The sequence below is a fragment of the Homo sapiens genome, chromosome 10 (genome assembly GCF_000001405.40).
Source record: "Homo sapiens chromosome 10, GRCh38.p14 Primary Assembly".
Taxonomy (NCBI): domain Eukaryota; kingdom Metazoa; phylum Chordata; class Mammalia; order Primates; family Hominidae; genus Homo; species Homo sapiens.
Window position 1 is genome coordinate 1,745,629 of NC_000010.11, and position 23,984 is coordinate 1,769,612.

General features: G+C 42.0%; 1 long non-coding RNA gene across 2 annotated transcripts in view, besides 1 other annotated feature; it reads right to left on the reverse strand.

Moving 5' to 3' along the window:
* The window catches only part of LOC105376345 (uncharacterized), a 28,677-nt gene that overhangs the window by 2,016 nt on the left and 2,677 nt on the right, over window positions 1–23,984 (reverse strand). The window contains exons 2-5 of one of the 2 annotated variants that reach the window (XR_007062033.1): window positions 14,145–14,343; window positions 7,772–7,927; window positions 2,299–2,394; window positions 426–755 (exon numbers count right to left, since the gene is read on the reverse strand). This is a non-coding gene — a long non-coding RNA (uncharacterized LOC105376345). Of the gene's footprint in view, window positions 1–425; window positions 756–2,298; window positions 2,395–7,771; window positions 7,928–14,144; window positions 14,344–23,984 lie in introns of those variants that run through there. The other variant, XR_930537.3, reaches the window with a different exon arrangement.
* Window positions 1,422–2,621: an enhancer, noted in NCBI's record as "BRD4-independent group 4 enhancer chr10:1789244-1790443 (GRCh37/hg19 assembly coordinates)". NCBI's record gives its function as "activates an origin of replication core promoter dependent on BRD2, P300/CBP, MED14 and CDK7 cofactors, and independent of BRD4, by STARR-seq in HCT116 cells {active_cell/tissue: HCT116}" and the evidence as "EXISTENCE:reporter gene assay evidence [ECO:0000049][PMID:35650434]".

The following is a 23,984-nucleotide window of genomic DNA, read 5'->3' on the forward strand; positions in this document are numbered from 1 at the left end:
TGCACACAGCAGTTTCCACACTGATGCTTCAAAGCTTTGCTGGAATCCAACTGTCTGAGGTGGCATCCCAGAGTCATGGCACCGAGGCGTCCATGAAGCCTGGAGCAGCCTGGCTGTGGGTGAAAGGGACGCAGGGCTGTGGAAAGTCACCTTGGTTTTCCTCCTGGTCCTCCACAGCTGCCAACACATCAGAGGGAGATCCGATTTCCAGGACAGTGGCAGTGATCCATGTAGATTGCAGTTCCAGTGCAATCAATGGATGTGACACATGGTCAGTGCTGGACCTAGTGGAGGTGGGGCTGTGAGAGCACTCAGATGGCAGTGCAGGGCATGGCGGGGCAGCAGTGTGTGGGTGCCTGGGAAGGTGGGAGTGTGAGAGCTCACAGGTAATGGTGGGAGGCATGGCAGGGCAGCAGTGTGCTGGGTGGGTGCCTGTGAAGGTGGGGCTGTGTGAGTGCTCACAGATGGCAGTGGAGGGCATGGCAGGGCAGCAGTGTGTTTGTGTCTGTGTAGCCTCTGGGGCAGGTCTGTGCTGTTGTTCTCCATAATTGCTGGTGGCAGTGGAGCCCGCTGGGCGCGGAGGGCAAGCATGCAGCCTGCATCTGCTCTGCACTGCAATCTGTTCTGGGTGTCACCAGCTGACCCACAGTGTCAGTGACCACCTCCTGGCGGATCTGACAGCCCTGAAGACACTCCTCCTCTTGGCCGGGAGTCCAGAGGCTGGTCATTAAAGCAATAATTAATCCCAGGCTCTCCTACAAAACGATGGGAAGGGAAAAATCACTTTGGGCTGTTATTAAAATGTTTTCAATTTCTTTCGTATCCAGGAAACAGTTTCTGATAAATAAAGGAAATATGCTAATATGATCTTTCTTTTAAAAAAGGGAAAATTGAAAGATGCCGTTTGAAAAAATCTAATCTTATATCTGCAACCTACATGTACAATAATATTTCAGTAATTTTAGTGTTGGACTTTAATAATTTTGATGTGTAAGTTTTCATGATTTGTATCATTTGTACATGTATTTCAATTTTCTTAAAAGAATATTTTCTAGCTGGGCACTTTGGGAGGCTGAGGCAGGAGGATTGCTAGAGCCCAGGAGTCAAGACAACCCCAGGCAACATAGTGAAACCCCACCTCTACAAGAAATGAAAAAAAAAATTAGGTGGGCCTGGTGGTACAAACTTGTAGTCCCAGCTTCTCAGGAAGCTAAGGCAGGAGGATCACTTGAGCCCAGGAGGTCCAGGTCAAGTGTCACATGAATCACGTGACATGTATGCGAGTGTCACATGAATCGCCTGACGTGTACACGAGTGTCACATGAATCACCTGACGTGTACGCAAGTGTCACATGAATCGCGTGACGTGTATGCGAGTGTCACATGAATCGCCTGATGTGTACGTGTCACATGGATTGCGTGACATGAACGTGACTGTCACATGGATCGCCTGATGTGTATGTGTCACATGGATTGCGTGACGTGTATGCGAGTGTCACATGGATCGCGTGATGTGTATGCGAGTGTCACATGGATCGCGTGATGTGTATGCGAGTGTCACATGGATCGCGTGATGTGTATGCGAGTGTCACATGGATTGCGTGATGTGTACACGAGTGTCATATGAATCACGTGACGTGTACGTGAGTGCTTCCACCTCCGGCTCACATGTTATTTTCCCCTGCAAAGCTGCAGGATCTGAACTCTGGAGGGTAAGGTGGTGAGGGATGGGCGTGTCCTCCAGGTGCCCACATGGGGCCAGCTGACTGAGTCAGCCCCAGTTTCCTGAGGAAGGACTCAAAAGGATTTTCTGGTTCATCCAGGTGAGTAAGTTCAAGTAAAGCCACCCAGAGTTGGGGAAAGGACCGCCCAGATTTATCAGCACAGCCTACCTCGGACACAATTCTAAAGGGAACTTGGATTTAGACTCTTAAGTGAGCTTTTGTTTCTCTCACTTTTCTCTAAATAATTTGATCTTCCTCATAGCATTGCATGGATTTTATAGGATGAAAGGAAGCCTCGAATGATCAACTGTAATAATGAATTTCCAAAGCTTTCATAGCCGCAGAGGCTCCTCTTCAAATGAATGTGCATGTTGAAGGCTGATGACTTAATTCTCTGTGGCTGAGCCACTGTATGGGAAGCAGAGTGGGAACCCCTTGCTGTTCATGGCCTCTGGGGCCATGAAGCGTTTCTCATCTAACACTAAGCAAGTCATTTAAGAAGCTCTATCTGATAATCTTGTTTAGAAATGTTTTATCCAGTTTTCTACCAAAATTAAAGTGAAACCTCTTTTACCAAGCTTCATTTCATTTCCTTTCCAACCAGGTGGCTTCAGCTTGTTTCAGTCATGGACAGTGGACGTCTTGCTTCATTTGTTGATCACAGGGTTTTCTGCTCTCTCCGCCCATGTGAAACAGAAAAATCATAGGTGGTTATTATTTTAAAACCCCTTTGTTTTCAGAAATTAGAATTAGGATTGGATCCCTGGTAACAGAGCAAACAATATTGATTTTCTGTTTGAATGATAGGACTTTTGATTTTCAGCTCAGTGTATAAGGGTCTTGAAAGTCTTTCCCTCTTCCTTAGGAAAAACTTTAAAAAATCCCTGAAAGTCAACAACTCTTCCTAGATTCTTCTGAGAAGTGAGGTCACAGGGAAAACTAGTACCCTAAAAGTTGTGGAGGCAGGTGTGTGGATAGAGAACCAACTTAGCAGAGCAGCTGTCCAGGAGGAGACACTTCTGTGGGAACAAGTGCCAGCAGAAAACCTAAGCTGCGATTGAGGTGTGGCTGCGCGCTCAGTGCAGAGGAGTCAGAGGCACAAAAGCTCTGGAGGACTCAGTCACAGACAGCGGGGAGGGCATACATTTCCAAGTGTTACCTCCAGGAACTCAACCAGTTCTCACAGAGAAGGTCAGAGAAAAGGCTCCTCCTGCCTCTAGCAGTGGGAGGAGAAGGTGAAAGTGGGTCTTTTTGAAATAGGCTAGGGCATTTATTTCACCTTAGAAAAGCCTGCTCTTGAGAGAAGTGGTTTTATCAAAGTCCAACCTACTGGGGTTTTATCTGGGTCTAACCCACCTAGGAGAGGGGAAATGCCAAATCTCCACCCTGACCTTTCTGAACCATCTAAGGCGTGTTGTCTTGGGCCACACAAAATACACTAGTGACAGCTGATGAGCTTAAATAAAAGTCAATGCATAATTTTCATGATATCTGCCACCACAGATAGGCAAAAAAAGTCATTGCATTCAAAGGTTTGAACATGGCTGATCCAAGGGCGAGTAAAACAAACAAATAAAAATCAAACAATGCAAACACATCTGTGAAGGTCACAGGCCAGGGGACACAGGCTCACTAAAGACCAAGACCTAATCATAGGACTCTGGGACTTGTCCCCCTCCTAACTCCTCACCACCACTTCAACAAGTCTCTTGTATAACAGCAGAAGAAAAAGACTGACAGAACTGTTTGTCTCAGACCTATTTAAGAAGATGTCTCCAGGGAAACCCAAAGACAACAAGAGAAACAAAAACACAGGACATCAGCTAGCTATGGCAAGCAGGAAATGTGACCTAACTCGTAGCTAGACAAATATCAGACCTCACACTGAAGGTCTATTCGCTGCTATCCCTTTTACCCAGCACATCATATCTGATTTTCAACACAAAATTACAAGGCACCCTAAAGTCAATAAAACATAATTGGAAGAGGCAGAATCAGAATCACAACCATACTCAGGTATGGCAGAGATGTTGGAGTTATGAGACTGGGAACTTAGAACAGCTATGATGAATGTGCAAGGGCTTTAATGGAAAAAGTAGATAACCTACAAGGACAGATGGGTAATGTAAGCAGAGAGATGAAAACACTAAGAAAGAATAAAAAGGAAATGCTGGAAACAAAAACTGTAACAGAAATGAATTTATGGGCCATTCAGTAAACCAGACAGGGCTGAGGAAAGAATTAGTAAGCCCAAAGAAATGTTAAGAGAAACATCTGGAAGTGAAATGCAGAGAGAAAGAGGAAGGAAAAAAGACACACCAGCCGATGCAAGACCTGTGGGACAATTATAAAAATTGTAATGAGAAATGCCAGAAAGAAAGTAGATAAAAAGAAGTATTTGTAGTAAAAATGACTGAAAATTATTCCACAACTAATGATAGATATCAAACCATAGATCCCAGAAGCTCAGAGAACACCAGGAAGGATAAATACCAAAAAAATCTACACCTAAGCCTGTCATGTTTAGACTGTAGAAGATCAAAGGAAAGGGAGTTTTAAAAGAAGTCCTTTAAAAGAGAGAGAGGGGTGGAAAAGAAACACCTTGCCTCTAGAGGAACTAGGATAAGAATTATGTTAGACTTCTCTTCAGAAACCATGCAAGCAAGAAGAGAGTGGAGTGAAATATTTAAAGTATTACAAGAAAAAAAAGAAATACAAATGTAAAATTCTGTGTCCAGCAAAATCATCCTTCAAAAGTGAAGAAGACAAGCGTGTGACTGAGATAAAATATTTACAAAAGACATATCTTATAAACGACTGGTATCTAAAATATACATACAAAGCACTCTTAAAGCCGAGGCGGGCGGATCACGAGGTCAGGAGATCGAGACCATCCTGGCTAACACGGTGAAACCCCGTCTCTACTAAAAATACAAAAAATTAGCCGGGCGTGGTGGCGGGTGCCTGTAGTCCCAGCTACTCGGGAGGCTGAGGCAGGAGAATGGCGTGAACCCGGGAGGCGGAGCTTGCAGTGAGCCGAGATCGCGCCACTGCACTCCAGCCTGGGCGACAGAGCGAGACTCCGTCTCAAAAAAAAAAAAAAAAAAAAAAAAAAAAAAAAAAAAAAATTCCACAATTATAAAAAAGCCTATATTAAAAAGTGTGCAAAATATCTGAAGAGGCATCTAACAAACATGATATACAGATAGCAAGTAAAGACATGTAAAGATATTCAGCATCATATGTCATTAGGAAATTGCAAATTAAAACAATAATAAGATATTACGACACACTTATTAGAATGATCAAAATCCAAAACACTGACGTCATCAGATGTTGGTGAGAATGTGGAGCAACAGGAACTCTCATTCACTGCTGATGGAAATGCAAAATAGCACAGCCACTGTGGAAGCCAATTTGGCAGTTTCATGCAAAACTAAACATACACTTAATATAACATGAAGCAATCATGCTCCTTGATATTTACCAAAATTAGTCAAAACATAAGTCTACACAAAACCTGCACACAAGTATTTACAGGAACTTTATTCATAGTTGCCAAAACTTGGATATAACCAAGATATTTTTCACTAGGTGAATGGATAACCAAACAGGTACATCCATAAGTGAAATACTATCCAGTGATAAAAAATAATATATCAGACCAAGAAAAGATATGGAGGAAGGAATCTTAACTGCATCTTAAGTGAAAGAAGCCAATCCGAGAAAGTTGCATACTGTACAATTCCAACTCTATGACATTCTGGAAAAGGAAAAACTACAGAGGCAGTAAAAAGATCAGTGGCTGTCAGAGCTTGGAAGAGGAAGGGATGAACAGGAGGAGCACAGAAGATATTTAGGGCAGGGAAACTGCTCTGTGTGATGCTCTAATAATGTGGATATGTCTTGTTATAGATTTGTCAAAACACATAAAATGTATAGCAAGAGTAAACCCTAATGTCAGCTACAGGCTCTGGGTGATAATGATGTCCCAATGTAGGTTTGTCAATTGAAAATGCACCATATTCATTCAAGATATTAACAGGAAAGTGAGGAAGAAAGAATTGATTTAGCAAGAATTTGGTTTACAGAAAAACTGAGTGGTGGAGATTAACAAAAAGCTACTAATTACAAAATTAAAAATTTAGACGAAAGATCTGTGGTTTTAGAGGTATTAGAGAGAAGGAAAAATATGTGCAAAAAGTATAAGGATCCATAGATATATCAGTGGAAATGGACATTTTACCACATGCTCATGTTTTACGACAAGGGACAAAATTCTCTAAGCTTTCCTTATAATGAGAATCATTCTGCTTAGGTGAGGCATATTATTTTATATTACTGGACATAGAGTCTCTTTGAATAGTAAAGTATTGCTAAATTAGGCACATATTTTGATAAATTATGTAATACTAATTATCTTGATTGCTGGTAGATTACATGAGCTACTCAAAAATAGATGCCTGGTACAGCTTAATACAGTTCATTGATTTATTCCATCTCAATTTCATTTTAAAGGAGCTCAAAACAAAATGCCCTTCAGCTAGATACAACAATTTTCAGTACTTAGCTATGAGAACCCACAAAAAAATGACAAAAAATAGGTACCAAATATACTAAAATAAAAATGTTTGAGAGAATTTCATAGTGTCAGTACAGAGTCAATTCCATCTTATCATCAGTGATTCTCAACTTTATTTATTTATTAGAAAAGTTGGGGGAAAGTCGAGACATTGAAAAGCAATCCAAGGACTCCCAACTGCCTCTGAGATTGGAATCCAAATATTAGCACCTTTTAAAGCTCCACAGGCAACCTGAACCCACAGCCAAGTTTAATCACCACTGCTCTGCTCCATGCAAAGAGGAAGGTTGGGGACACTACTCTGCTCCACACACACAGTAAGGTTGGAGACACCACTCTGCTCCATCACACAGGAAGGCTGGGGACACAGCTCTGCTCCATGTATGCAGAAATGTTGGGGACCCCTGCTCTGCTCCATCACACAGGAAGGTTGGGGACACAGCTCTGCACCATTCACACAGGAAGGCTAGGGACACAGCTCTGCTCCATCACACAGGAAGGCTGGGGGCACTGCTTTGCTCTGTCACACTGGAAGTTTGGGAACACCACTCTGCACCATCCACACAGGAAGGATGGGGACACTACTCTGCTCCACACACACAGGAATGCTGGGGACCAGTGTTCTGCACCATCTACGTTGGAAGGTTTAGCAGAGCATTTTGCTCTAGCTAGGTAGGGCAATTTATTTCTCAACAAGAGCTGAAGGGCACGTACTTATCAAGTAAGAAAGGGAAGTGCACTAGGAATTGAGCATACTCATGCAGGAAAGCTGACTAGCAGTTTAATGTTATTTTCTCTTGCAATCAGCTGAAATACCCTAATAATGCTATTCTTCAACTTCAATTGCTTATTAAATAGCTAGGATAACAATTGCAAGTACATTCTCATTATTTAAGCTTTTTGGAATTGACCACACTCCTAATGAGGGTCTCATCTAAGAGTTATGATGTGAACACAAGGAATAGCAGAAATTATCCTTTCAAATATGGGCAATAATAGTGACCATGGCAGAAAAACACTGCTGTCGTGGTCTTCCTCCCATAGGATTACTCACTCATTCACGCATTCATTCATTGGCCAGATCTGTAGTTAGCAAGCCTTAGAGCTAGGTATTCTCCAAAGCATTGGGGAAATTGGTAAGAAATGATTGACTTGAGGCAATGGCCTTCAAGACAAAGTGAGGAGTGAAGGCACCTGTGAGAATGTGTTAAGTGCGAGCAGTGCTGTCCATGGTCCACAGAAGTAGGCAGGGTAGGGTGGGAGGGATAAGTTCTTTCTGTACACCCTGTCTGTGCAACTGGGCTGCAAAGTATTTGTGTGTTTGGAGGCATGGGGGGATGTTCAAATTATTGATATAAAAGAGAAACAACTGTATTTATTTAGACTGTCCATCAAGCAAACTTGGGAAGATATGGTGTCATCAAGCTTCCCCTTGGGACATAGATGGTTAAAAAGAGAGGCTCACCCTCCTCCGCAGGTGGCTTGAATCTATCTGTCTCCTGGCTGTGATTTCAAACACACTGGAGCCTGTCCCTGATGACAAGGTTCATGATGACAGCCACAATACTGCTCAACCTGATGTCTCAGAGGACCCAGGAAGGAGGCAGCTTTCTGAAAATGGCTATGAGAAAAAACAGTAAATCCACATCTCTCTAAGTCTAAATACTTCCTGCTAAGAGTGTTATAGATTACAGTTTCTACAATCATGAGAAACACTCACCTGGGGTTTGCTACCCACTGTATCTGGGTGTGGATATTAAAGACATTGTTCTAAATACTCTTCTCTACAACTCAAGACAGAAATTTTCATCATCCTCACGCCTCAGAGGAAATGGCTTATTTTTGAAGCTCTATTAGTACATGTGCTCAAAACCCAAGTGTTTTTTTTCTTATGTATGTTATGCCTTTGTTTTTATCTACGTTGTCTTTAAAAGTTTTTTGGTGCACATGGAAAAAAATAAATGAAAGAGAATTTTCACATCTCTCTAGGTGTACTATAAATTCAAATTTTCAAGCTTAAGAAATTTCAACAAATTTTGCTCTGGGTTTCATAAGTAATTACTTTAGGTTTATATTTTTTTTTTCTAATTTGTTTCTGTTGTTTTAGTTTTCCTTGCCAATTATCAAAATGTTCTCTAGAAAACAAAAATGTTAAAAATGAAATTCAGATGTCCGGCTAGAGACTTCTTGTTATACAAGGATTTTGCCTATCTCGGTCATGAAGGCTGCAACAAACTAAGATCAAACCCAAAAGGCCCATCTATGTACATTTCTACATGTGTCAAAGTCAACGTATTCTGATATAGTTTCCAATTATTTCCCCTCATAAGAATGGTGACTGAAGTTTTTTTTTTGTTGTGATTTCTTGTATCATCTGTGTCTCTTGAAATGAATCATAAGGTAAATTGGCTGGACTCGGGCTCTTTTACAGAAGATAAATGATTTTGTGATATTTTAAACGTCTCTGTTTGTTGGGAGAGCATGCGCAAGGTGATCCATCTCAGCTCCACTTCCCTGTGAGAAACAAAGTCGCAGTGTAAAGCGATTTAGTCTTTTCTGTGTCGCAGAAGCATGGTCAGCATTGATGCTATTTAGCATTTTATCAGCTGAGCACGAGAGGAGACAGGAGCTCTTTGAGCGCCGGGCGAAGGCCCTGTGGCTGATGCTGACCCCCGCTCGCTGTGCTGCAGGGTGCAGGAAGCAGCGGCAATTACGGCTCCACTGCATTTTGCCAGACACGGGGCTCAGAACAATAGGATTGTTGTGCGGCCGGAGAGCAATCATTCAAGTCCTGCTTGTCTGTGCTGAGCTCCAGCCAGCCGCTCAGGCCAAGTGGCTGAGCTGTCAGGACCGGCTGGAAAGTGAGGGACGGCCTTGGGCAGCTGCAGAGCACACTTTGGGTCACCTGGGGGGCTTGGGGTGGAGACACCTTGCACAGAAGCTGCCCCACTCTCCGAGTTCCCACTTCTCCTCACTCTTGGAAGAGGGAGATGAATCCATCTTTTACCTCTGAAACAGATTTCTCTGGAAGCCCTGAGTAGCTGGAGAGAAGCAAAGGCCCCTCTCTCTGTAGCTCTTCCTGCCCTCTCTTTCCCTCACCCCACACTCTTCAGCGCTGGGCCTCTGGGGAAGGGCCGTTACACTGGGTTCCTTCCCACAGGTGCTGCCCTGCTTGGGAGAACCTGGCATGGGGCGAGGACGCTGCAGGCCTCCAGTTTGCTCAGATGCCAGTGTGTGAGGAGAGGGAGGGAGCAAAACAAACCCCACAGCTGAAAACAACACGACAGGGAAACACCGGAACCAAAGGTCCCACTGGAATGTAGAGAAATCACCTCTGCAGCTCCAGGCCTGTGGCTACCTGTAATAGGCTTTGTCTTTTTACCAGCATTTCGTAATAAATTAGTTCTCATTATGTAAAACATACTTTCCTCTCCTTTGTTCTTGGAATAATACCAGGGAGTTCTTTCTTCTCTTGGTCACAAATGTGCTTCCCCAGTAGAGCTCACGGCCTCACTCACATAAGACGGAGCCTGCTGGCCACACCCTCGACTCTAAGGCCATCCTGAGACTCACGCCTGCAGGTCTCTATTGCTGGGTTCTAGGAAGGTGCAGTACTATCAATGCTTATCAATGCTTCAAGTGCCGTATTTTCAGGCTAATGCAACTAACCAGAACCCTGTTTTCTCCCGAACACACACACACACACACACACACACACACACACACACACACACACACACACACCCCCCAGTAACTGTAACAAATGACGCCAGAGAGACAGACTTTGTCCCGTGTGGCCACAGGGGGTCGCTGGAGAGCGCCGGTCTGGTCTTGCAGGCTCAGGGAGGTCTTCCTCCTGCCTTTCTTTTATCAGCAAAAGCATCCTCTAAGTCGTCAGAAACAACCTTGCTTTGCTTCATAAAAAAATGGAGCAAGAAAATGTAAGAAAAAATCTATTGCTAAGTATTGAATAAAAGGGGATGCGGTGTGCAGATGAATCAACTGGTTTGTGAAGACAGCCCCCTGCAAAGGCTGCTGTGGGACAGTCAGCGGGCAGCCAGATGCCCAGGTGCTGAACTCCCAGAATAGACCTGTGGAACTGTGCCAGCAAAACTGGCCTTAGAATAATTTAGGAAAGAAAATTTTATGATATGCCAAGATAATTAATTATTAAAAACAGAAGAGAAAAAGTCCACACAAATGAACAGAAGGAACACAGTCATGTTTAGAGAATATGTTTGAAAAACATAATAATTACTGTGCTTTACCTGGCAAAAATAAATTGAAAATTGAAATGCTGAATCTAAAATAGAAAGTGTAAAGGAAAATATTTATTTTATTTTTTTGGTGTAACCTGCTGTATCGGAATGAATGGTTAGAGTTCATTCAGCACTTTGATAAGTATATCTACCTATATTTTAGTAAGTAAATTGCTAAGGTAGTTTAAAAAACTCTAAGTGCATACACACATGTTCGTGGAAATAAAGTTTTAAAATAAGACACAAAAAATTCACTTTGGGCTAGAAAAGTGAAAAAGATTTCTGAGAATTTTCAGTTACCAAGATTGAGTTATCAATCATGTAAATCTGAATGAGTAAAGGAAAGAATCATAGCCGATCAAAAAATATCTGAATACCTGCCACAGATAAGGCACACACAAGATATTCTGCAGGAAATGTGTACATCATAATTCTTCAACTGTGTAGTATCAAAGGAATAGATGCCAAGGTATGAAAAGTTAACTAGTAATTCATATAGTCTTATAACAAGTTCTGCTAATTTTGATATATACATACACACACATATACATATACATGCATTTACATATATGTATATGAAAATGCACATATATATTTTCATATATATAGAAAATACGTATATATGTGTATATGTATATGTGTATGTGTATACATATATATATATATATAAATATGAATTAAGAGCAGATAAGGCTGGGGCATTCTGAGAATTCTTCATTTAGCAGGTGAGTTTTCATTAATCCAGTAAACAATTTTTGAGTATCTAATAACCTTGAAATAGAAAAATGGCTTTGCTTCATGTTGCAGATTTGTATGTTTGGAAGCAGGAGAGAGATTTCAGGCTGAAAGGCAGAAGGAAGGGAATAGTCTACTTTGTTTCAGGGGTTCTGAGGAAGTCATTCTGGGGGAGTTATTGAAAGGCTTTTAATGGAAGCATGGAGATTTGAATTTTATTTTGTAAAGAAGCCATAGAAAATGTTTCAGTAGAAGAGTGGTTGGCTGATATCAACACAAAGACAAGATCCACCTCAAAATGCTTTTCTTGTACTCCTTCTATGCTAGGGAATATATTCCTTCCCACCTCCAATTTTTCTAATTCTGATTTGCCCCCTGAATGAAAAATTCTTAGGAGCCATGAGGGTTTGAAGCATATACACTTGGACCAGGCCCATAACCAACTGTATTAGTCATCACCTGCCAGGTGCTGCTGCAGTAACAAATACTCCTGGCATCTGAAAGGCTTACAACAGCAAAGGCTCATTTCCAATACCATTGCCTATCAGCTGTGGCCTTGCTCCACAAGGTCCTCCTCATCCTCAAATCCAGGGTGATGACAACCTTCATCTAGGGCTTTGCTGTGCTCAAAGTAGAAGGAAAAGAACAGTGACTGAACCATGAGATGGCTTTCAAAGCTCCTGCTCAGCCATGATCAACATCACTTCCAGTCTCCTCTCATTGACCAAAGCAAGTAACATGGGCAGCCTGGAGTTGATGGGATGAGGCAGATGAGCCCATCGTGGGAAAGGGCTGGAATCATGGGAGTGGAGTGCAGTGATGCACGTTCATTCACACGTGTCCACGTGACCCATGGACACACAAAGGAAAGGACTCAGAATCTTTCCCCAAGTGTTTTCTTTATCTTCTTTTTCTTTACTTTTGGCTTGAGCAGTGGAAGAGGGTGTGAGGAGGGAAGAGCCTCTCTCTGTTAGGAACCTGGAAATATGTGGTGTCAGAGCCCATGGAAGCCATGGCAGCTGGTAAGTCAAAGAAAATAGACTTGAGAAAATAAAGCCTCCATGAAGAAGGAGCAAGGAGAAAATAAAAAAATGAGGAGTGTGGCGGTTCAATCACACCTGCTTTTCCTGTAAGCTGGTTCTTTGAAAAACAGTAATTAAGTTGATAAGCTCCTAAAAGAACCCATCAAGAAAAAAGAGAAAAATACACACTTCCAATAGCAGTAATGAAAAAAAAAATCACCACACATCCTGATAACATCAGAAAGGCAATAAGGAAATATTATGAATCAACTTCATACCAATAAAATAGCTAGATTAAATGGACAACTTCCTCAAAACACGATTTGCCAATATGGATGGAAATGAAATATGAAATCTGAGTATGACATTTATTAAGCAATTCTAATTTGTTATAAAAAACATCTTCATTAAAAAAAGAAATTCTTGACACTTAGTCACACTAAATTTTGTGTAACATTAACAAAATAAATAATTCCAATCTTACCCCCAAATCCTTCAGAAAATAGAGGGGAAAAGAACATTTTCTCACTCAATTTATAAGGATAGCATATTGCTGATACTAAAATGCAGCAAACTGAGAATTCAAGGCTACTTGCTTGATTCAAGGAGGTGAACCTATGGAAAAGTCAATAGCAAACATCACAGTTAAGAGTATAATACTGAACATTTTCCACAAGGCCAGGAACATGGCAAGTGTATCCACTCTTGTTATTTCTATTAAACTTTGTACTTGAATTCCTAGCTAGTGCAATAAGGCATGAAAAAGAAATCAAGATATAGATATGAGAGAGAGGTTAAACTGTGCTTATTCACAACACAAGTGTAGAAAAATCCTAAGTAATTTACAATAAAGAATTCTACTGAATCTAGTAATGAATTTAGTACAAAGGACACTAAGTTGACATATAAAAATCCACTGAATTTTATATGCTAGCAGCAAACTATGGAAAGGCAATTAAATAATTCCATCTTCAATAACCATTAGAACACATACTACTTTGAGAAACAAATTTATCAAAGAAGCATAAGAACTATTGATATGGTTTGGTTGTGTCCTCACCCAAATCTCATCTTGAACTTTAACTCCCATGGTTCCCACATGTTGTGGGAGGAACCTGGTGGGAGGTGATTGAGTTATGGGGGTGGGTCTTTCCTGTGCTGTTCTTGTGATAGTCAATGAGTCTCATGAGATTTAATGGTTTTAAAAATGGGAGTTCCCCTGCACAAACTCTCTTTTTGCCTGCTGCCATCCATGTAAGATGTAACTTGCTCCTCCTTGCCTTCTGCCATGATTGTGAGGCCTCCCCAGCCAGGTGGAGCTGTAAGTCCATTAAACCTCTTTTCTTTTGTAAATTGTCCAGTCTTGGGTATGCTTTTATCAGCAGCATGTAAACAGACTAGTACAAATATTCTCTAAAAACTACAAAAGATTCCTGAAGGAAATTAAGGAAGTCCTGAATAAATAGACATGTTAAGCATATGGATTTAAAAAATCAAAATTGTTAAAATGTAAACTGTTCCCAAACTATTCTACATTCTCTGCTATCCCAATAATAATGTAGGTGGCTTTTGGTGAAAGTTGATAGTCATCTCTTAAACTTATGGACTTGCGAAGGATCTAGAATAGTCAAATTGATCTTGAAAATTAAGTACAAGGCTGGAGGACCTGTAATACCTAACACCAAGACCTAAGGCTGCAGCAATCAAGAAACCGAATATTGGTCTATAGATAGGAAAGGTGAATCCTCATAGTTCTACACATAGATCAACACTAATGCTGTCAATGGAATGTTTAGTTCCCACCACTTAACGATCTACTTACCAATGGTGCTGGTGGTGCACGAGAAGCCAGGGGTCCCTAAACCTCTGCCTGGGCCTCAATCTTCCTCTCTTGCCACTGTCAGGCTGGTGGTCAAAGTGTAGTAGCATGCAAAGTCCATGTTCAAGTCAGGGATGAGCTCAGCCAAGTGTTCCTTGAAGGCAGGGTCAGCCCAGCCACACAGGTGAAGAGGTGGGTGGTACTGGCAAAACAGCAGGAGATAGCAGGGTGTTTGTCACAGCCAAGCTGCCCTTGGGAGCCTCTGACCAGCACCTGCCTCCCACCTTCTCATAGCCATCGCACAGGGCAGCTTCTGCGGGCTGCAGGGTGGCCTTGGGAGAGACACATTGAGATGGGGACACAAAATGACAGGCCCTAGAGCTTCCCATTCATGATGGCAAACTGATTTTTTTTTCTTTTAAGATGGAATTTCACCCTTGTCACGCAGGCTGGAGTGCAGTAGTGCGATCTCGGCTCACCGCAACCTCCGCCTCCTAGGTTCAAGCAATTCTCCTGCCCCAGCCTCCAGAGTACCTGGGATTACAGTGGCGCACCACCATGCCCATCTAATTGTTTTGTATTTTTAGTAGAGACAGGGTTTCCCCATGTTGGCCAGGCTGGTCCCGAACTCCTGACCTCAGTGATCCACCTGCCTTAGCCTCCCAAAGTGCTGGGATTACAGGCGTGAGCCACTGCTCTTGGCTGGCAAACTAACTTTTAAATGCAACATCAAAGCAATTAAATGGTTAAACGAAGTCTCCTTAATAAATACAAAAAAACAAAACCATCCTGAGCACTACCCCACATCATATGTTAAAATAGAAAACACAACCCCCAAGTCACACGGTACACAAAACTTAATTCAAGGTGGATCTTATATTTAACAACGAAAATGAAAACATAAAACTTATAGCAGAAAATATAAGAGGATATTTTCACAAACCCAAGGATAAACATTTCTTACACAGGACCCAGAAATCACAGTCATTAAAAAAGAAGTATATTAGACTTCATAAAAGTTAATAAAACTTCTCATCAAAATGCACTATTAAAATTTGTGAATGAGCAAAACAATGATTGGGAAAAATATTTCCAAAATATGTATCTGTCAGGGGATATATATTGAGACTATAAAAAGAATCCCTGCAACTAAACAACAATAAAAAGCAAGAAAAAGGCTTGAACAACCACTTTACAAGAATACATGTGAATGGTCAATAAGGAGATAAAAGAATGTTCAACATCACTTGTGTTCAGAGAAATCCACGTTGAAACCTCTGTGTTAGAGAAGTTTTGGTCAGGCCTGGGTTATGGGGTGTGAGCCTCAGGTCCAATGTCAATGAGTCCGCAATGGTTATTAAACACGGCATCTTTAAACAGAAGCACACACCCAACAAGGTTAGCTATTGACTATTTGACGAAAATGTGTGACCAGTGGCTTTCAGGAACCTAACCTTGTGTTTTCCAGGGGAGCAATGGTTGAGGCTGATTCAGGGTCAAGTTGACTTCAGAGAACATGAGAATCTGTGTTTAAATCTGCACAGTACTCTTGGTTCACTTACTCCCTTCCAGGCCCTTTTTCATGCCTATCCCTGTGCTGGATGATGGATTATAGTCAGGACCCGGGGCAGACACAGCCCTTTTCTTGCCTTCTTTACAGTGAAGACCGACATAACACAATCAACCAGGTGGTTCCCCAGCTGAGGGGTCCGTTCCCAAGACAGGCCCACAGGCTCCGGGAGCACCGACCTGGCCATTGCTCTCTCGGGAGGGTGGGAGGAGGGAGAGCACCAGGAAGAATAACTCCTGGGTCCCAGGCTCAGTACCTGGGTGACTAAATAATCTGTACAACACACCTCCTAACTAGGGACATGAGTTTACCTAGATTACAAAGCTGCATATGTACCCTGGAACCTAAAATAGAAGTTTTTTTTTTTCTTTTTAAGGTTTCCACTAAAAAAGCGACAACTGAGATGAGACCTGCTCAGTGATTGCGACTGAGTGAATATGAATGTGGGGTGCAAAGAGTACCCCCCAAAGAAGGGGAAGGTTTTACTGAAAAAGCCCTGAGGCCAAAGAAGCAGTACCTTATCTAAAGCCTTTGTTCATAGAATGCCCTGATGCTGCAGGGTATTGGAGGTGGTCCCTCTCCACATCTAAAGATGAGCGACTCCAGGCTGAGAAAGAAAGCCTCTTGCTGCAGATCACTCTTTCACGCAGGTCATGGCTGCCCCTCCTGGGTAAAGTAGACAGCTTTTTGGTTGAAACCCTTGGTGATATTTACTTAATTCCCCCAGTCTCTCACTCTACAGCCCTCCCCAACTTTCAGCTCCATCGTCCTGTCCTTTGAATCCCGTTGTCTCTATCTTACAGGAGAGAGTGAAGGGCTCTCCTTTTGCAAGGCTGTCCTGAAGTCTTAATTCCTCCCTTCCAAGAAAACCAGCAGCTGATCATCATCTTAAGCAGATCAGCACCAGCAGCCAGATGCCGTTCAGGCTTAAGTGCCCAGAAAGCCTCACGGATTAATTGCACACTCTGTGTCATTAACCTCCAGGTCGGATTAGGTCACCTCGATTAAAAGCTGATGCTGGAAAGATTGAAAAGGGTGAGAAAGTCCTGGATACGAAGGCAAAAACTTAAAGCATGAATGTCCCAATCCTCGGGGCTTTAAAACAATAGTCCAGCAGTCTGATTCATTCAGAAATCTCTTCGTCTGTTTTTGTTCGCACACTCACACACACTCACACACATACATTTCCATCCTTTGCACGCATAAAGTTACTTTCAGAAGTTCAATCTACTGCCATGACGAGATTCTTTTGCTGTCATTATTGATGTTGCTGGTTGTTTTGTTGTTGTTGTTGTTTTGTGGGATAATAGTATGTTACAAACATTTGTAAATTCCATTAAATTATAACACAAAACCCCCCAATGGCCAATTCTTTGTATAAAATTTGAGCCCGATTGGTTGCCCTCAGAGCCTGCAGTAATGTGGTCATTTGCCGTGGAAGTGGGGTTTCCTGTGTTGCTTTGGTAATAGAGTCCTGTTATGGGCTAATTACCCGTGAGGACTGGTCACGTCCAGGTCTGTGAGCGCTTATGCCAATTTCAATCCCAAAGGAAATGGCCTGACTTACTTCTACTGATTGGTCTGTAGAGGAGTAAGATGTCTAAGTAGAGAGGAACAACTGCTGCAGAGCAGAACTTTCTATGCCTCCTGTCCCTTTATGGAAGCCTCGTGAATCCTTCTGATGAACAAATGGATGAAGTTTCACAAGTATGCCTTGGATTTGCAACAGTTCTGTCATGAACAGGACTTTCATTGACAAAGTTTAGCCCCAAGACAACTTTTTAAAAAACCATCTTGTTTTCTTAAACCATGTCTTCCTTGCTGTGATTGCATAGCAAGGTTACTGACGTAGGACGGCCACTCTCACACTCTGTTATTTTATCGCATTTTATGTTTAACAGATTGTAATTACATAAAATACTGTACGTTCTCCCGAATGCTAATAATGACTGAGGATATATGAATGTATAAGTATTATTAATTTATTGTGCTGTTAAAAATGCAGTTTTATGACAGTTTTAACTGGGTTAACCCTGTGTGTGTGTGTGTGTGAGAGAGAGTGAGTGAGAGAGGGAATTTTAATAGAGGGCAGTACCATTATTTAATCTTCTTTTTATCAAGTGAGTTTTCAAAATATATTTAAAATTCTCACCTCTCCACTTTCTTGATGGCATATTTGGTTTTATGCTAAACTGAATTCAGAAAATCCTGTTAATGAAGATGGTTTAATGCCTGTGCATTATTATAACGGACCCCTTTGTTCTGCAGTTTCCCTGCAACATGGACTAAGTCATTAATCAATGGGTGCCGAAAAATAATTGTCTAGTTCTTAACAATTGTCTATTGTTGAAGCATTTGGAATTTTAAGATAAAGATGTACAGGCTGCTCTAAAAAATGGTTTAAGATTACCCTTCATGGAATTGTGGACATATTGTTGGAAGCAGGAAGCAGCTGATCCGGTTTTAATGCATTTTTGAGTCTCGCTGTTCAATTGCCTATTCAAATTGTGCTGGAAAAGTTGACTTCATTAATGTCAGGAAATAATGATTTCATATTTTGTATTGAGCTGGCATGGTTGTTAAATGCAGAAATATCATAGAATTCTTCAGCATTTTGAAATCGAGTGAAGCATGTGAATAATCACAATAACTTTTTGTCTATTTAACAACAGTTTTTGTACGTGGCACTCCCATCTTAGATACCTGCTATAAATAAGAACCCTGTATCTGAATGATTACTAGTCAGCAAGAAATATATGACTACAGCATGCTGCTTTAGTGGCTCAAAATTAGACATCTTTCTCACTGAAAATGCTGTAATTTGAAATGTCAATAAATACATTTCATGCCATCTTATACTGTAAAAAATTACCCCTTAAATCTGTCAAGATCGAAGTCTAACTCATGGCCTGAAAAAAAAAAAGTAAATTCTAACTTGGGGAACGATGTGTGCCCCGATTTTTAAGTGTGCCTCCCCTTCTAAATTCGCTGATATGACTAAGTCTCCCTAGACGGCATTCCCAGGGACTGTCTTAAGACATGCTTATTTTTGGTATAGCAGTAACCTGTTACAGACTTTTTTATTTATTTATTTATTTTATTTTATTTTTTTTTTGAGACGGAGTCTCGCTCTGTCGCCCAGGCTGCAGTGCAGTGGCGCGATCTCGGCTCACTGCAGGCTCCGCCTCCCGGGTTCACGCATTCTCCTGCCTCAGCCTCCCGAGTAGCTGGGACCACAGGCGCCCGCCACCACGCCCGGCTAATTTTTTCTATTTTTAGTAGAGACGGGGTTTCACCGTGTTAGTCAGGATGGTCTCGATCTCCTGACCTCGTGATCTGCCTGCCTCAGCCTCCCAAAGTGCTGGGATTACAGACGTGAGCCACAGCGCCAGGCCCAGACTTTAATTAATAATTATTATTGAGTGATTTTTATTTGGTGAGTACCTGGAATAAATACCGTTTCTTAATTGGAGAAAAAAGATAGTTGTGTTTGTCTCAATACCCCTTCCCCAGTGGGACCAATTGCAATTATTCTTTTTTCTCTTGTCTCTAACAAGGCACTGAAAAATGATCAGGCTTCTGTCTCTTACATGTATTCAGTGAGTCTTCAGGGTACGTTAAGGCAGGAAGGGGAAGCTGGCCCCTCCCGCCACTTTAAAGTCTAGGAGGGTGAGGCTATGGAGAGCACCCGGCTTATTTCAATGAGAACCATCTTTGGGGAGCTTCTCTGGGCAGAACATGACACACACACATTATCCTGTTGAGCCTTCACCTTCACCCAGCCAGAATGAGGAGATGCATTGCCATGGTTGTACAGGTGAGGAAATGGGCGGATGGGCCACCCAAGCCACGCAGCTCGAATCCCAGAGCCGTGATCAGAAACCGGTCTGCCTCACTCCAGAGCCCCCAGTTCTCCCTTCACGCTGCTTTCCATTCTCAGTCTCATGCTCCTGAGGGAAGACAGAGATCCTGACCCCAGGGCCCAGGTGATTTCCAAGGCATCAACTATGGTTTGACAGTGTCAGCTTTGGGGGCATTCAGGGCTCATGGCACCAAAGCACACACACTATTCGCTGGAGTAGTCCCACGGGAAAAAATAGTGAATACATGTGTATGTATACATTTATACACATTAGTTCATTATATTACATTGTATATACGCATGCAGATGCCTGTATTACATTACATGATGTATATTTAAACATATACATATGTCACATACACTATATTACATTGTGTATATATGTATACGAATACATATATATGCATTCTGGCCTCTTTAGTAAGCAGTATGTGTGTTGGGGTGAATCAGAAACCACTCACATTTTTGCCTCTCCCGCTTCCCTTTTCAAAAATGTTGATGGAAAAACAAAACAAAACAAAACAAAGCAAAACCAAACAAAACACTTTCTACCTCTGAAAACCTGGCCTGAACTCCTGATATTTGCTGTGGTTTAAGTGTGTCCCCCAAATTTCATGTGTTGGAGACTTAATCCCCAGTTTGGTCGTATTGAAAGTTGGGGCCTTTACGAGGTGATTGGATCGTGAAGGCTCTGACTTCATGAATAGATTAATCTATTGGCGGACTCATGGATCAATAAATTAATGGGTTAATAGATTAATGGGTAATCATGGGAGTGGAACTGGTGGCCTTATAAAGAGAGGTCCTGGGAGTGACCACTGGTCGGAGTTCTCCTGTGGCCTCTGCACTCCAGCCAGTCCTCCTGCATGGCCAGCCCTGGGAGTGACCACTGGTCCAAGCTCTCCTGTGGCCTTTGCATTCTGGCCAGTCCTCCTGCATGGACAGCCGTGGGGGTGACCACTGGTTGGAGCTCTCCCGAGGCCTCTGCACTCCTGGCCAGTCCTCCTGCATGGACAGCCGTGGAGGTGACCACTGGTTGGAGCTCTCCTGTGGTGTCTGCACTCTGGCCAGCTCTCCTGCATGGACAACTGTGGGGTGGCTGACCACTGGTCGGAGCTCTCCTGTGGCCTCTGCACTCCCGGCCAGTCCTCCCGCATGGACAGCTGTGGAGGTGACAACTGGTCGGAGCTCTCCCTAGGCCTCTGCACTCCGGCAAGTCCGAATGGGTCTCGTCCTTTGCAGATACACGCTGGGCTCTCTGAGCAGTTCCTCCCTGGCTCCTCCTTGGGCTGGCATGAGCTGCCTCATCTTCTCACTGGAATATGGCACATAAGGTTACCCAGAATGTTTCTTCTAGATAAGCACTGATCTTCTCAAGCTCTGCGTGTTTTCATACGCAAGGTTGAATGAGAGCCAGTTCTAGACCTAAACAGAAATACCTTTCCCGAGGAAATAGAATTTTAAATTCTTCTGCTTAATGACATATAAGGAAGAAAATGAATTTTTTTTTTTTTTGAGATGGAGTTTCACTGTGTCACCCAGGCTGGAGTACAATGCCATGATCTCAACTCACTGCAACCTCTGCCTTCTGGATTCAAACAATTCTCCTGCCTCAGCCTTCCCAAGTAGCTGGGATTACACGCATGCACCACTACGCCCGGCTAATTTTGTAGTTTTAGTAGAGACAGGGTTTCTCCATGTTGGTCAGGCTGGTCTCAAACTCCCGACTTCAGGTGATCCGCCTGCCTCGGCCTCCCAAAGTGCTGGGATTACAGGCGTGAGCCATCATGCCTGGCCATGAGAGAATATTTAATGTAGTTTTTATTTAAAAATCTGTTTTTATTCAAATGTATTAATGTTCATCTGCTTCTCTTCTTTGTTCTTCCATTTGTTTGTATCCTCTTTTATTTCCTTGAGCAGTGGTTTGTAGTTCTCCTTGAAGAGGTCCTTCACATCCCTTGTAAGTTGGATTCCTAGGTATTTTATTCTCTTTGAAGCAATTGTGAATGGGAGTTCACTCATGATTTGGCTCTCTGTTTGTCTGTTGTTGGTGTATAAGAATGCTTGTGATTTTTGTACATTGATTTTGTATCCTGAGACTTTGCTGAAGTTGCTTATCAGCTTAAGGAGATTTTGGGCTAAGACAATGGGGTTTTCTAGATATACAATCATGTCGTCTGCAAACAGGGACAATTTGACTTCCTCTTTTCCTAATTGAATACCCTTTATTTCCTTCTCCTGCCTAATTGCCCTGGCCAGAACTTCCAACACTATGTTGAATAGGAGTGGTGAGAGAGGGCATCCCTGTCTTGTGCCGGTTTTCAAAGGGAATGCTTCCAGTTTATGCCCATTCAGTATGATATTGGCTGTGGGTTTGTCATAGATAGCTCTTATTATTTTGAGATATGTCCTATCAATAACTAATTTATTGAGAGTTTTTAGCATGAAGGGTTGTTGAATTTTGTTGAAGGCCTTTTCTGCATCTATTGAGATGATCATGTGGTTTTTGTCTTTGGCTCTGTTTATATGCTGGATTACATTTATTGATTTTCGTATGTTGAACCAGCCTTGCATCCCAGGGATGAAGCCCACTTGATCATGGTGGATAAGCTTTTTGATGTGCTGCTGGATTCGTTTTGCCAGTATTTTATTGAGGATTTTTGCATCAATGTTCATCAAGGATATTGGTCTAAAATTCTCTTTTTTGGTTGTGTCTCTGCCTGGCTTTGGTATCAGAATGATGCTGGCCTCATAAAATGAGTTAGGGAGGATTCCCTCTTTTTCTATTGATTGGAATAGTTTCAGAAGGAATGGTACCAGTTCCTCCTTGTACCTCTGGTAGAATTCGGCTGTGAATCCATCTGGTCCTGGATTCTTTTTGGTTGGTAAACTATTGATTATTGCCACAATTTCAGCTCCTGTTATTGGTATATTCAGAGAATCAACTTCTTCCTGGTTTAGTCTTGGGAGAGAGTATGTGTCGAGGAATTTATCCATTTCTTCTAGATTTTCTAGTTTATTTGCGTAGAGGTGTTTGTAGTATTCTCTGATGGTAGTTTGTATTTCTGTGGGATCGGTGATGATATCCCCTTTATCATTTTTATTGCGTCTATTTGATTCTTCTCTCTTTTTTTCTTTATTAGTCTTGCTAGCAGTCTATCAATTTTGTTGATCCTTTCAAAAAACCAGCTCCTGGATTCATTAATTTTTTGAAGGGTTTTTTGTGTCTCTATTTCCTTCAGTTCTGCTCTGATTTTAGTTATTTCTTGTCTTCTGCTAGCTTTTGAATGTGTTTGCTCTTGCTTTTCTAGTTCTTTTAATTGTGATGTTAGGGTGTCAATTTTGGATCTTTCCTGCTTTCTCTTGTGGGCATTTAGTGCTATAAATTTCCCTCTACACACTGCTTTGAATGCGTCCCAGAGATTCTGGCATGTTGTGTCTTTGTTCTCGTTGGTTTCAAAGAACATCTTTATTTCTGCCTTCATTTCATTATGTAACCAGTAGTCATTCAGGAGCAGGTTGTTCAGTTTCCATGTAGTTGAGCGGTTTTGAGTGAGATTCTTCATCCTGAGTTCTAGTTTGATTGCACTATGGTCTGAGAGATAGTTTGTTATAATCTCTGTTCTTTTACATTTGCTGAGGAGAGCTTTACTTCCAAGTATGTGGTCAATTTTGGAATAGGTGTGGTGTGGTGCTGAAAAAAATGTATATTCTGCTGATTTGGGGTGCAGAGTTCTGTAGATGTCTATTAGGTCCGCTTGGTGCAGAGCTGAGTTCAATTCCTGGGTATCCTTGTTGACTTTCTGTCTCGTTGATCTGTCTAATGTTGACAGTGGGGTGTTAAAGTCTCCCATTATTAATGTCTGGGAGTCTAAGTCTCTTTGTAGGTCACTCAGGACTTGCTTTATGAATCTGGGTGCTCCTGTATTGGGTGCATATATATTTAGGATAGTTAGCTCTTCTTGTTGAATTGATCCCTTTACCATTATGTAATGGCCTTCTTTGTCTCTTTTGATCTTTGTTGGTATAAAGTCTGTTTTATCAGAGACTAGGATTGCAACCCCTGCCTTTTTTTGTTTTCCATTTGCTTGGTAGATCTTCCTCCATCCTTTTATTTTGAGCCTATGTGTGTCTCTGCACATGAGATGGGTTTCCTGAATACAGCACACTGATGGGTCTTGACTCTTTATCCAATTTGCCAAAACTACTTTAAAGTTCATATGGAACCAAAAAAGAGCCCGCATTGCCAAGGCAATCCTAAGCCAAAAGAACAAAGCTGGAGGCATCATGCTACCTGACTTCAAACTGTACTACAAGGCTACAGTAACCAAAACAGCATGGTACTGGTACCAAAACAGAGATATAGATCAATGGAACAGGACAGAGCCCTCAGAAATAATGCCGCCTATCT